Here is a 15,748-nt window from a genome sequence, read left to right as displayed (position 1 = left end):
GGTCTCGATCTCCTGACCTTGTGATCCGCCCACCTCGGCCTCCCAAAGTGCTGGGATTACAGGCGTGAGCCACAGTGCCCGGCAATAAAGTGAATATTTCAATGAAACAAGTGCTATAGTTTAGATGTTTGACTTCTTGAAAATCTCACGTTGAAACCTGTACTCCATTGTTGGAGGTGGGGCTTAGTAGGAGGTGTTTGGATCACAGGGGTGGATCCCTCATGAATGGCTTGATGCCATTCTTACAGTAGTGAGTGAATTCTTGCTCTAATAGTTCCCTGAGGGATGCTGTTTCAAAGAGCCTGCAACCTCCTACCCTGCTCTCTTGCTTCCTCTTTTTCCATGTGTTTCGGCACCACATAGTAATGCTGCTCCCCTTTGCCTTCCACCACGAGTGGAAGTTTGACCTTCTCACATCCTCACAAGAAGTCAAGCAGAAGGATGCCAGGGCTATGCTTCTTGTACAGCCTGCAGAACCATGAGCGAAATACACCTCCTTTCTATACAAATTACCCAGACTCAGGTATTCCTTTATAGCAACATAGAGTAAGACAATGAGTCACACAATGTTTTTTTGGTGTCCCAGTACATACAAAAGTTATATTTATATTATACTATAGTTTATTAAGTGTGCAATAGTATATCTAAAAAACAATGTGCATATGTTAATTTTAAAATACTTTATTTTAAAAAGTGCTAATAATTATCTGTCCTTTAAATGAGTCCTAGTCTTTTTGCTGGTGGAGGGTCTCACCTCACTGTTAATGGCCGCTAACTTAAGAGTAAAGTTTACTGAAGATTGGGGTGGCTGTGGCAATTTCTTAAAATAAGACAAATTTTACCCATAGTAGAAATTCTTTTGAAATTGGAGTCAATACTTTCCAAAACTGCCACTGCTTTATAATTTAAGTTTACGTAATATTCTAAATCCTTTATTGTCATTTCAACAATGTTCACAGACTCTTCACCAGCAGTAGATTTCATGTCCAGAAACCACTTTCTTTCCTGATCCTTAAGAAGCAAGTCTTTCTTCATTTGAGTTTTATCATGATATTGCAGCAATTATTTATTGAAAATAAACTTCTTCCAAACTCCTGTTAATGTTGATGTTTTGATTTCCTCTCATGAATCAAAAATATTCTTAATATCGTCTAGAATGGTGAATCCATTACAGAGGTTTTCAATTTATTTTGCCCAGATTCATCAGAGGAATAACCATCGCTATACCTTTAGAAAATGTGTTTCTTAAATAGAAAGCCTTGAATATCAAATGACCTCTTGACACATGGGCGACGGAATAGATTTTGCGTTAGCAGGTATAAAAACAATATTAATCTCAGCCAGGAGCGGTGGCTCACACCTGTAATCCTACCATTTTGGGATGCCAAGGTGGGTGGATTGCCTGAGCTCAGGAGTTTGAGACCAGCCTGGGTAACATGGTGAAACCCCGTCTCTACTAAAATCCAAAAAAATTAGCCATGCGTGGCAGTGTGTGCCTGTAATCACAGCTACTTGGGAGGCTGAGGCAGGAGAATCGCTTGAACCCAGGAGGCAGAGGTTGCAGTGAGCTGAGATCACGCCATTGCACTCCAGCCTGGTTGACAGAGTGAGACTCCATCTCAAAATAATTATAATACTAAGAAGAATAAGAATAATATTAATCTCTTTGTATATCTCCTTCAGAGCTCTTGGGTGACCATATGTATAGTCAATGAGCAGTAATATTTTGAAAGCAATTTTAATCTAAGTAGTAGGTCTCAACAGTGGGCTTGACAATTTTGTAAGCCATGCTGTAAACATGGGCATGGTTATCTAGTCTTAGTTTCCATTTATAGAGCATAGGTAGAGTATAATTCTTAAGGGCCCTAGACTTTTCTAAATGGTAAATGAGCATTGACTTCTACTTAAAGTTAATGGCTGCATTAGCCTCTAACAAGAGAGTCATCCTGTCCTTTGAAGCTTTAAAGTCAGGCTTTGACTTCTCTTCTCTAGCTATGAAAATTCTAGATGGCATCTTCTTCCAATGTAAGGCTGTGTCATGTACATTAAAATCTATTTAGTGTAGTCATCTTCATCAGTGATCTTTGCTAGATCTTCTGGATAACTTGCTGCAGCTTCTACATCAGCACTTGCTGCTTCACCTTGCACTTTCATGCTATGGAGGCTTATCTTCTTAAACTTCATGAACCAACCTCTGCTAGCTTCAAATTTTTCTTCCGCAGCTTCCTCACCCCTCTCAGTCTTCATAAAATCGAAGGCAGTTAGGGCCTTTTAATGAATTAGGCTTTGGCTTAAGGGAATTCTGTGGCTGATTGATCTTCTATCCAAACCACTCTTAACTTTCTTCATATCAGCAATAAGGCCATTTGCTTTCTTATCATTTATGTGTTCACTGAAGTAGCACTTTTAATTACTTTCCAAAACTCTTCCTTTCTGTTCAAATCTTGGCTAACTTTACAACAAGAGGCCTAATTTCAGCCTCTATCTCAGCCTTCCACATACCTTCCTCACTAAGCTGAATAATGTCTAGCTTTTGATTTAAAGTGACAGATATGTGATTATTCCTTTCACTTGAAAATGTAGCAGTCATTGTAGGGTTATTAATTAGCCCTATTTTAATATTGTTGTCAATAGGGAGGCCTGAAGAGAGGGAGAGAGATGTGGGATTGTTGGGGCAGTTAGAACACACATATTTTTCTACTGAGTTTGCCGACTTGCATGGGAAAAGTTCATGGGGCCCCAAAACAATTACAATAGGAACATCAAAGATCCCTGATTGCAGATCACCATAACAAATATAATGATGATAAAAATATTTGAAATATTGTGAAAATTACCAAACTGTGACACAGAGACACAAAATGAGTACATGCTGTTGAAAAAAAAAGGCACAAATTATTTTGCTCATTGCAAAGTTGTTAGAAATATTTTATTTGTAAAAGGTACAATATTTGCAAAGTACAATAAATTAAATCATAATAAAATGAGGTACGCCTACATACATGCACGCACACACACACACACACGTATAAGGTTAAAGTTTTAGGGTAAAATTTATCAATAAATTACATGAGAATGACCTTTCATGTAACTTCATAATGACTATGGAAATTTACATGGTCCACATGGCATCTGCTTGTGAAATTAAATAAAAAACTATGGGAGGGGAGTGTTAGTGGATGAATCATGTCCCTCTAAAACTCATATTGAAGCTGAATTTCCTAGCACCTCAGAATGTGAAAATATTTGGAGACAGGGCCTACAGAGAGATTAATCTAACATGAGACTATTAAGTGGGCCCTATTATAATCTGACCAGTGTCTTTATAATAAGAGGAAATTCAGAAACACACAATCACACCAGAAATGCTTTTTCAGAGAAAAAAACCCATGTGAGAACACAAAGAGAAGACAGCCATCCACAAGCCAAGGAATGAAGCGTCAAAAGAATCTACACTTGTCAACATCATGATCTTGGGCACTCAGCCTCTGAACTATGAGAAAATAAATCTCTGCTGTTTAAGACACCTAGTTTGTGGTATTCTGTTCTGGCAGCCCTAGGAAACATACAGGAGATCTTTGCCGAAAAGTCACAAGATAATTTTGTTAACTTTAAATACTTAATGATTACTACATTTACCTATGCAGGAAAGGGGAGAGAATGTTTGAGTTTCTCATTTAAAATGTCATTTTTGTTGCAACATTTTACAAATACTCAATACAAACTTTATTTAAGCTGCTGTCAGTTGATAATACTCATCATCTATTTCCACTCCATTTTAAGATCACTCATGTGTTACTAAGAAGGCAACACTAAAACTCATATTTTAAGGATGTGCATGTAGCCAGGTAACTAGAAACAATTCAGACTCTACTTTCTTGAAGTAGTGGCATAAAATTCAAATGCAGAAGAGAAGAGGTGACATTTCAGTATCAGTGATAACTCACAGGTGATCTTTAGCAAATATAGAGTAGCAGCAGGCATAGTCTATGCTTCCTTACCTAGTCACAAACTTCATGAGTGTGGGTGGCTCTGTGATGACATCAGTGACAACAGTAGTTTTCTGGCCAGGGTCATGGCAGCAATGGTATGTCATTGTAGACAATGACAGTGACTTCCATCCCTCCAACTCCACCAGTGGTTTGACAAGCATGTAATTTCCTATGTTAAATGTATTTCTGCATTTAGTATGATTTTGGTTGTAGATTTGTTGCATATAGCTTTAACTATATTGAGTTCTGTTCTTCCAATACCTACTTTGTTGAGGGTTTTCATCATGAAGCCATGCTGAATTTTATTAAATGCTTTTTCTGCATCTACTGAGATGATCATTTGGTTTTATTTTTAATTTTGTTCATATGGTGAATCATGCTTATTGATTTGCATATGTTGTATATCCTTGCATCTCTGAAATAAAAGCCACTTGATCATGGTATATTATCTTTTTGATGTACTGTTGGATTCAGTTTGCTAGTATTTTGTTGAAAATGTTTGTATTTATGTTCATCAGAAATATTGGCCTGTAGTTTTTTTCATTGTTGTTGTGTCCTTGCCTGGCCTTGTTATCAGGGCAATAGTGGCTCCATAGAGTGAGTTAGGGAAGATTTCCTCCTTTTCGATGTTTGTGTGTGTGTGTGTGTGTGTGTGTGTGTGTGTGTGTATATGTGTGTGTGTGTTTAACAGTTTTTAGAGGACTGGTGCTAGTTCTTGTTTGACACCTGGTATAATTTGGCTGTGAATCTGTAAGGTCCTCGTTTTTTTGTTGTTGTTGATGTTGGAAAATTTTTTATTACTGATTCAATCTCACAGTTGATTGTTGGCCTGTTCAAAATTTCCTTTTCTTCCAGGTTCAATCTTGGGAGTTTGTATGTTTCCAGGAATGCATATATTTCTTCTAGTTTATCTAATTTGTGAGCACACAGAGGTTCACAGTAGTCTCTCATGATCTGTTGTATTTCTGTGGCATCAGTTTTAATTCTCCTTTTTCATTTCTGATCATGCCTATTTGAACCTCTTTTTTTTTTTGGTTAGTCTAGCTGGTGGTCTATTAATTTTGTTTACCTTTTCAAAGAATCAACTTTTAATTTCATTGATTCTTTGTATTTTTATCTCAATTGCATTAAGTTCTTCTCTGATTTTTTATTTCTTTTCTTCTAATAGCTTTGAGTTTGGTTTGCTACTTTCTTTTCTTTTCTAGTTTCTTGAGGTACCATAGTAAGTTGTTAATTTGTGATCTTTCTATCTTTTTAATGTAGGCATTTAATGCTATAAACTTTCTCCTTATCACTGCTTTTGCTGTATCCCAGAGGCTCTGATATGTTGTGCCTCTATTATCACTTGTTTCAAACAATTGAAATATCTGGAATGACTTCTGTTTCTTACACTGAACCATGAATTTGTTATATAATGTTGTGCTTAACACATGAAAAATTTTTACCAGCAAAGGATTAAAAAAATCATAACAAACAGTTTTGATAGTATCAAGCTAGACAAGGAAAAGGCAAAATATTTCAGCTTATCCTACCAGATACCCCGAGTCTTCCCTGAGCAGACTACAGATTCCCACCTGGTTTCCACATTAAACAGGCAAAATGCTTTCTGAATAAAACATTGCTAAAGACAGAGAGCAAAAATTAATAAACTAGGTTAAAGTTGAAAAATATATAGAAATAGATAGTGAACAATGTATTCCTTGATAATAAACAAAATAACACTAATAATGATTACAACAAGCAAATTTGCTTTATTGTTTACCTTGCTGGGGTCAGTTTATAAAAAGTTAACATGTGTGTTCTAATAGTCCATATTCACACTACTGATAAAGGTATACCCAAGACTAGGAAGAAAAAGAGGTTTAATTGGACTTACAGTTCCACATGGCTGGGGAGGCCTCAGAATCATGGCAGGAGGTGAAAGGCACTTCTTACATGGCAGCAGCAAGAAAAAATGAGGAAGAAGCAAAAGTGGAAATCCCTGATAAACCCATCAGATCTTGTGAGACTTACTTACTATCACGAGAATAGCATGGGAAAGACCAGCCCCTAAGATTTAATTCCTCCCCCTGGATCCCTCCCACAACAGGTGGGAATTCTAGGAGATACAATTCAAGTTGAGATTTGGGTGGGGACACAGCCAAACTATAGTATTCCAACCCTGGCCCCTCCTAATCTGTCTTCACATTTCAAAACCAACCATGCCTTTCCAGCAGTCCCTTAAAGTCTTAACTCACTTCAGCATAAACCCAAAAGTCCACAGTCCAAATTCTCATCCGAGACAAGGCAAGTAGCTTCAGCCTATGAGCCTGTAAACTCAAAAGCAATCTAGTTATTTCCTAGATACAATGGGGGTACAAGTATTGGGTAAATACAGCCATTCCAAGTGGGAGAAATTGGCCAAAACAAAGGGGTCACAGGGCCCATGCAAGACCAAAATCCAGTGGGGCAAATTTTAAATCTCCAAAATGATCTCTTTTGACTCCATGTGTCACACCCAGGTCATGCTGATGCAAAAGGTCAGTTTCCATGGTCTTAGGCAGCTCAGCCCCTGTGGCTTTGCAGGGTACAGCCTCTCTCCTGGCTGCCTTCATGGGCTGGTGTTGGGTGTTTGCAGCTTTTCCAACTGCACGGTGCTAGATCCATCATTCTGGGGTCTGGAGGATGGTGTCCCTCTTCTCACAGCTCAACTAGGCAGTGTCAATGTAGGGATTCTCTGTGGGGGCTCCAACCCCACATTTCCCTTCTGCATTGCCTAGAAGAAGTTCTATATGAGGGCCCCACCCCTGCAGTAAATATGTGCCTGGACATCCAGGCGTTTCCATTTATCTTCTGAAATCTAGGCAGAGGTTCTCAAACCTCAATTCTTGACTTCTGTGCACCTGCAGGCTCAACACCATGTGAAAGCTGCCAAGCCTTGGGGCTTCCATCCTCTGAAGCAAGCCCCTCTGAAGCCACAGCCCAAGCTCTATGTTGACCCCTTTCTGTCATGGCTAGAGCAGCTTGGGCACAGGGCATCAAGTCCCTAGGCCACAAACAGTACAGGGACCCTGGACTAGGCCCACAGAACCACTTTTGCCTCCTGGGTCTCGGGGCCTGTGATGGGAGGGGCTGCTGTGAAGGTCTCTGACACAGCCTGGAGACCTATTTCTCACGATATTGGGGATTAACATTAGGATCCTTGCTACTTACATAAATTTCTGCAGCCATCTTGATTTTCTTCTCAAAAAATGAGTTTTTCTTTTTCTACTGCATTGTCAGGCTGCAAGTTTTCTAAACTTTAATGCTCTGTTTCCCATTTAAAAGCAAATGCCTTTAACAGCACCCAAGTCACCTCTTGAATGCTTTGCAGCTTAGAAATTTCTTCTGCCCAATACCCTAAATCATCTCTCTCAAGTTCAGAGTTCCACAAATCTTTAAGGCAGGGGCAAAATGCTGCCAGTCTCTTTGCTAAAACCTAACAAGAGTCACCTTTGCTCCACTTCCCAAAAAGCTCCTCATCTCCATCCGAGACCACCTTTCATTGTCCATATCATTATCAGCATTTTGGTCAACGCCATTTAACAAGGCTCTAGGTTGTTCCATACTTTCCCACATTTTCCTGTCTTCTTCTGAGTACTCCAAACTGTCCCAACCTCTGTGTGTTACCCACTTCCAAAGTCACTTCCGCATTTTTGGGTATCATTTCAGCAACATCCCACTCTCAGTACCAATTTATTGTATTAGTCTGTTTTCACCTTGCTAATAAATATGCAGTGCATATTCCAGTATTTAAGAAAATGGGAATTATAGCTACAGCTGAGAGTTGAACACTGTTCAAAAAAGGCTCTTGGTACACTACTGGACTTTACTAAAAAACTGAGTCCTGAGAATGGAACATTGAGAGGCCAGGTAGGCAACATTCCAGTCATGAAGTAGTTATTATCCCACCACCAGAATTGGAAAGTTGCTATACTATGGGAACTGAATAATAGCCCTGAAAAGCAGCAGTGAGGAAAAAAAAATTTATATATATATATTTATATTTATATAATATATAATATATATAATTTATATATTACATATATTTTGTATTTTTATATATATATACACACATGTCTCACACATATGTTACCCACACACACACATAAATAATGTATACATATTACTTAATACACACATATATATGCAATTTACTTGAAAAAGAAAAAAACCACTGGGCCTATTTATTTAAGTTATCAAAATTAGCCAATTTGTACTGATATTCTTTCTTCATTTAATTAACTCAGTGAAGTTTAAGGATTAATTTTTATTTGTGATTTAAATATTCAAAATCTCCTCAGGAGTTTATAGAAAAAACTCAATGTAAGAGCAAAATTATTTTAGTAAGCCTTATTAATCATGAAATAATCTTATCCTTTTAAGGTGTTCAATTCCAGGATGAACTGATTAATGAAACACAGTAATAATGCCAGATATATTAATCAGTAAATTATAGTAATAAATTTAAGCATTTACAATAATATATCTTTCAATTAAAATAAGCAGGGTTTGTTGTTGTTTTTTAGCTTCATACAATTTAGAATAAACCAGTTTGAAATACATAGCCCCGAAGGTGTTTATTTTTCAGCATATTAAAATATTGTATTATTATAGTATTTTGTCAATGTTAGACATAGGAATGTAAATGATGCATAACAATATTAATGAAATAATTTTATGCCATCTCACCACACATCGAACCTAGACATCCCCAGTACACTTGAAACACACCTTCAAAAAGAAACAATGACAACCCAGTAGAAATGATAAAGTAATCAAATGATTGATTAGGCAACTTTAGTTTAGATAGTTTAGATGAGCCCTTGATAATCAATGCCAAAAAAAAGATGGAACTAGAAAATCACTAATTTATGTATTCAAAAGAAATAATGAAGTCAATTGATATGGTTTGGCTCTGTGTCCCCTCCCAAATCTTATCTCAAATTGTAATCCACACATGTTGGAGGAGGGGCCTGATGGGAGATAATTAGATCATGGTGGTGGATTTCTCCCTTCTTATTCTCATGATAGTGAATGAATTGTCATGAGATCTGATGGCCTTAAAGTGTGGCACTCCCCCTTGCTCTCTCTCTATCCTGCAGCTATGTAAGACATGCTACGTTTCCCTTTTAACTTCTGCCATCATTGTAAGTTTCCTGAGGCCTCCCCAGCCATATGGAACTGTAAGTCGATGAAACCTTTTTTTCTTTATAAATTACCCAGTCTCGGGTAACTGTGAAAACAGGCTAATATAGAAAATTGGTACCAAATTAGTGGGACATTTCTATAAAGATAACTGAGAATGTGGAAATGACATTGGAACTAGGTAACCAGTAGAGTTTGAAACAGCTTGGAGGGTTCAGAAGAAGACAGTAAGATGAGAAAAAGTTTGGAACTTCCTAGAGACTAGTTGAATGGTTTTGACCAAAATGCTGATAGTGATATTGACAATGAAGTCCAGGCTGAGGTAGCCTCAGATGGAGATGAGGAACTTGGTGGAAACTGGAGCAAAGGTGACTCTTGCTATGCTTTAGCAAAGAGACTGGTTAAGTTTGCCCCTGCCCTAGAGATGCGTGGAACTTTCAACTTGAGACAAATGATTTAGGATATCTGGCAGAAGAAATTTCTAAGCAGTAAAGCATTCAAGAGGTGGCCTGGCTTTTTCTAAAAGCACATCATCATGCACATTCACAAAAAGATGGTTTGAAATTTGAACTTATGTTTAAAAGGGGAGCAGAGCATATAAGTTTGGAAAATTTGCAGCCTGACCATGTGATAGAAGAGAAAAACCCAGATTTTTGGAAGAAATTCAAGCCAGCTGCAGAAATTTGCATAAGTGACAGGGAGCCAAAAGTTAATAGCCAAGACAATGGGGATAATATCTCCAGGGCATTTCAGAGATCTTTGAGGCAACCCCTCTCATCACAGATCTTGAGGCCTAGGAGGGAAATATGGTTTCTTGGGCTGAGGTGAAGGCCCTACTGCTCTGTGCAGTTTTGGGACAAGATATACTGCGTCCCAGCCACGCCAGCTCCAGCCATGGCTAAAAAGCGCCAAAGTACATCTAAGATCATTGCTTCAGAGGGTGCAAGCCCCAAGCCTTGGCAGGTTCCACATGGTGTTGGGCCTGCAGAAGTGCAGATAACAAGAATTGAGTTTTGTGAACCTCTGCATAGACTTCAGAGAATGTATGGAAATGCCTAGATGTCCAGGCAGAAGTCTGCTGCAAGGGCCCATGAAGAACCTCTATTAGGGCAGTGGAGATGGGAAATGTGGGGTTGGAGCCCCCACACAGAGTCCCCACTGGGGCGCTGCCTAGTGGAGCTGTGAGAAGAGGGCCACTGTGCTCCAGATTCCAGAATGGTAGATCCACTGACAACTTGCATCATGCACTTGGAAAAGCTGCAAGCACAAAACACCAACCCATGCAAGCAGCCATGGGCCTATTCCCTGCAGAGCCATAGGGGTGGAGTTGCCCAAAGCTTTGTGAGCCGGCCCCATGCCTCAGCATGCCCTGGAGGTAAGACGTGAAGTCAAATGGGATTATTTTGGAGTTTAAAGGTTTAATGACTACCCTGTTGGGTTTGAACTTGCATAGTGCATGTGGCCCCTTTGTTTTGTCCCAATTTCTCCCATTTGGAATGGGAACATTTACCTACCACTCTCTCAAGCCTCCTGTACAGGAGGTCCATTAGTGCCTCAGTTCTATTCAGCGTGGACCTGAAGGTGCTTCCCACCCCCAAGCCACCTGTCAGGGTGAGCTGAGAGATCAGCTGGGAAGAGCAGAGCCACTTATGGCCAAGAGGAATTGTTCTGGGGGTTGATTAGTAAGTAGGAGAGCGAAAGGGAAGAAGAAAACAATGTACCGGGATTGAACGTCTCCAGCTGAAGAAGAGGAGGCTTAGAGGTTTTTTACCGCTGGGGAACATATCCGAGTCACAGCACCAAAGTATGTTACCAGCAGTGAATCCACATGTGTCTGCAGCAACTTCAATTCTTGCCTCCTTAGAAGAAAGAATTTGACTGAGGAGCATAAGGCAAAAGGAGAGACAGAGGCAAGTTTTAGAGCAAAAGTGAGTTTTTTTTAAAAAGCTTTAGAGAAGTAAAGCACACTTGGAAGAGGGCCAAGCAGATGACTTGGGAGATCAAGTGCCCTGTTTGACCTTTGACTTGGGGTTTTATACACAGGCATACTACTATGATCTTGCATTCCTTCTCCCCTGATTCTTCCCTTTGGGGTGGGCTGTCCACATGTGCAGCGGCCTGCTAGCACTTGGGAGTTGAGCATGTGCAGTGTGTTTACTGGAGTTGTATGTATGCTCTTTTCAGGTGTTATTCCCTTACCAGCTGAATTTTCCTAGAAAGTCATATACCAGTTAAACTCTATCATTTTGCTTTTTAACATGCATGCTTGAGCACACTTGTCCAACTCCTGTGATCTTATCCGGAAGCTGCTGATTACCTGTTTCAGGTTTTGTCTCTCTGATGGGAGATTGCCTTTCGCTGGTGCCAGCTGCAACCAATTATTATTTTAGAGAGACACTTTAACAACCACCTGACCATGACCTGATGGTCACTTGACATTCCTGGTTGGGGGAGGGAGCCCTCCCTTACCCTGCTCATGCCTGACAAGCTACCTACTGTAACAAAATGATCTGTTTTTTCGAAAAGACAAATAATGAATTCATAACAAAATAAACATAGATAAACGAAGTTGTTATAGATTATAAAAGACTTACAAGACAACAATCAATTGCAATGTGTGACTTATGGATCATGATTTAAACCAATGGATTGTAAAAAATGAATTTTGAAATAAATTGGCACGTTTATTTTGGGTTACAGATGGCAGTAAGAAAATGTTGCAAATTTCCTTCTGTGTGATAATGACGGCAAAATTTAAAATAAATAATAAAACTGCAATATTTGAAAATGTAAAATATAAAATATTTAAACCATAGTAAATATTGAAACTATTTTCTCCTAGGCCCCTGGACCTGTGATGGGAGGTTCTGCCATGAAGACCTCTGGCATGCCCTGGAGACACTTTTCCCATATTCTTGGGAATTAAAATTTGGCTCCTCCTTACTTATGCAAATCTCTGCAGCTGGCTTTAATTTCTCCTCAGAAAATGAGTTTTTCTTTTTTATCACATTTCCAGGCTGCACATTTTCTGAACTTGTATGTCCTTCTTCCCTTATAAAACTGAATGCTTTTAACAGCACTCAAGTCACCTCTTGAACACTTTGCTGCTTAGAAATTTCTTTCACCAAATACCCTAAATCATCTCTCTCAAGTTCAAAGTTCCACAGATCTCTAGGGCAGGGGCAAAATGCCATCAGTCTCTTTGCTAAAACATAACAAGAGTCATCTTTGCTCCAGTTCCCAACAAGTTTCTCATCTCCATCTGATATCACCTCAGCCTGGATTCATTGTCCATATCATTGTAAGCAGGTTGGGGCAAAGCCATTCAACAAGTCTCTAGGGAGTTTCAAACTTTCCCAGATTTCCTTGTCTTCTTCTGAGCCCTCCCAACTGTTTCACCCTCTATCTGTTACCCAGGTCCAAAATTGCTTCCACATTTCCAAGTATCTTTTAAGCAACACCCCACTCTACTAGTACCAATTTGCTGTATTAATCTGTTCTCACACTGCTGATAAAGACATACCTGAGACTGGGCAATTTCCAAAAGAAAGAAAGTTAATTGGACTTACAGTTCCACATGGCTGGGAAGCCTCACTATCATGGCAGAAGGCAAGGAGGAGCAAGTCACATCTTACATTAATGGCGGCAGGCGAAGAGAGGAAACTTGTGCAGGGGAACTCATCTTTATAAAACCATCAGATCTCATGAGACTTATTCAGTGTCATGAGAACAGCATGGGAAAGACTTGCCCCCATGATTCAAGTACCCCCCACTGGGTCCCTCCCACAACATGTGGGAATTCAAGATGAGATTTGGATAGGGACACATTAAAACCATATCAGCATGACATCTAGGATTTTCTTTAAACATCTAGTCCAAGATGAAAAAAATGGAGAAGAATATGAAACAAATTTGGAGAATATGTTGATTATTCTTGAAGCTGGGAGCTAAATACATTAAACTGTTTGCTGTTTTATTTTTGTGTACATTTTTAAATGTTCATAATAATAATATTTTAATATATGCATGCAGTTGAACTATTGTAATGACTGAATGAACTAAAATCGTTCCTTATCTTATAAAATCTAAATATCTTCCTCAGTCACAACTTCACAGTCTTAACCATTCTCTATTTTTTCCTTTTTTTAATGAACGATTTACTTTTTTACTACATTCTTAAGAAAATTAGTGTCAATAGTATATTAACAAGACGATTTAGTTTATTCTGACAAACATATGCAGAAGTTTACTTTGTGCTATGAACTGCCAGATGCTGGAAATAACCTGTGTAAAAGATAAACTCTTCTTAGATTTTATTTCTTCTGGTACGTCTACTTGTGAATGTCAGAAATAGCCAACAAAATTGAATTCCTAGTGGTTTTTGCTTTATTCATGGCTCTTTTCAATTCACTTCACATTCATTTTAAGACATTTCTTACATCTAATATCTTGCCTTTTTAGGTTTTGTCTGATGATTTTATATTCTACAGCCTGAAAAACTAGAGCTTTATACTGTTTCTCCAACATTAATCTTGAATTTCTCCAACTGATAAAATGGATTTAACATAAAATCAATTGATCCTCATGCTAGCTGGTACTTCTCACCAGGTTAACTTAATTCTCATAAACAGAAATCAGAGAGCCCTCAAATATATATAGGTATATATATATATATATATATATATATATATATATAGAGAGAGAGAGAGAGAGAGAGAGAGAGAGAGAGAGAGAGAATTCAACATAATATTTGTATCTTTGTCTTTATGCAGAGATATTAAACAAATGCAAATTTCCATAAGCTTAGTTACATTATTTGTCATACATATCGTAAGTAGTAGTATGACCATGTTGTATTTGTTAAATGAGCTCAATAGTCTTTTTATGATATAATGCTGTATAATATAAGAAATGAGCTACTAATAATTACAAAAATACTGTTATCAAACTTGTGGTTTATAGAGTGTAATATTATATGTGAAAAGGCAGAACTCTTGGAAACATAGGTATGTCCTAGTTTATCTATGTCACAAATAACAATGAAATTCTTAATTATTTGATTAGTTAAAGATATCCATGCACAGTATCCCTTGCCGAACATGTAAGTTAAGTCATAGGTTAAATTTAATCCCCTGCAAATGTACTTGCCTCAAGTTAAGAAACACAGTAAACATCACCTGTGTGTACATCAACAAACTCCATTAACCTTTTCATTAGTTAGATTCACCCCTTGTTGCAAATCTGCTTCCTATAATTCATCCAGTCTGTAATTTATCACAAAACTCAGCCAAGCTCCATAACTGCCTACTTTCCACTGGAGAAAGCTTCAATTAAATACTAGTAAAATGCTAGTAGTTCCCATCGATCAATATTTCATTCAGGTTTCTGCTCAAATGACAAACTTAAAGGATTTCAGTGATGACTGTATCTAAAGTTGTGTATTTTTAGTAGAGATATTGAATTCTTACTTTTCTTCATTTACTTTTTCAACAGATCCCTTGCATGATATTAAATTATACATCTAGCATTTATTTATTTATTATCTGTATTTTCTACTAGTATAGATGGTCATTGAAGGCAGATATTTCTACTTTTTGTGCTATACTATCCCCTCTGTCACAAAAATGAATGTTGCATAATAGGGGCTACATAAACATTTGTTGAATGAACAAATTAATGAATGGCTATAGAGAGAAAGAAAATCTGTCCACTGACCTCAGATAACTATGACATGACATTTCTCTCATATTTTGTTAAGTCATAGTTTAAAATACTAAGATTATTAAATAAGAAACATTCTCAAATAAAGGGAATGGATACATTACGATGAGAACGAAGCAAAATCAAATCTTTTTTATTGTTTTTGTTTTTGTTTTTTTTTTTTTGGCTCTGTTTATTCCTTCCAAATCTTTAACTTAAATAATTTGAAATGTGTGAGGTTATATCATTGGTAGATATTCATACAGACATAGGTTAAGCAAAATTGAATAGGTAGCATATTCACAATCAGAAATAGAAACTCTTATATTCATGCACCATTGCATTGCTGTTTTTCCAAATAATAATGCAAAAATTCAAATAACAATAATGTTACTGAAGAATATTAGAGTCACATAGAACAGAGGTATCGCATGGCAGAAAGACCCAGGCTTCAGCTCCATCTGTGTATAAGGTGATCAAGTAATATAATTTCTCTATCTTTAAATTTATTTCTTAATATATCAGAAATATAGTAGGTTTGTCAAAGGATGAAATGAGATAATTAACAGAAAGTACTTGTGAAAGAGACTGGTGGCTACTATCCAAAATGTATGATCTCCCGTTCTTATTGGATACACAGCTAGCCTACATTCCAGCCACAGTCATCCCAAATGATGAACTCCACTTCAAGACCTGGTTCATAACCTCTCACTTGCACTCATTTCTTCTTCTATCTTGTTGGAGTAAAAAAGACATGAGCACGAGACTAATTTTCCGGCCACTTCTGTCAGTATGAATCCCTGAATAACCACGTGGAGAAGGGCAGTCCTGCCAATCTATTCCACTCAACCAGTCATAATTTGAGCCATAAATAAACTTAAAATAATTTC

At 37.8% G+C, this 15,748-nt stretch overlaps 1 long non-coding RNA gene across 1 annotated transcript in view; it reads right to left on the bottom strand.

The window, feature by feature from the left end:
- The window catches only part of LINC02241 (long intergenic non-protein coding RNA 2241), a 325,854-nt gene that overhangs the window by 130,440 nt on the left and 179,666 nt on the right, over positions 1 to 15,748 (bottom strand). The gene's annotated exons all lie outside the window — the stretch shown is intronic.

This window comes from Homo sapiens, chromosome 5 (assembly GCF_000001405.40).
Source record: "Homo sapiens chromosome 5, GRCh38.p14 Primary Assembly".
Lineage (NCBI taxonomy): Eukaryota > Metazoa > Chordata > Mammalia > Primates > Hominidae > Homo > Homo sapiens.
The sequence above is the reverse complement of the archived record's forward strand: the minus strand, read 5'-3'. Positions and strand labels throughout refer to the sequence as shown.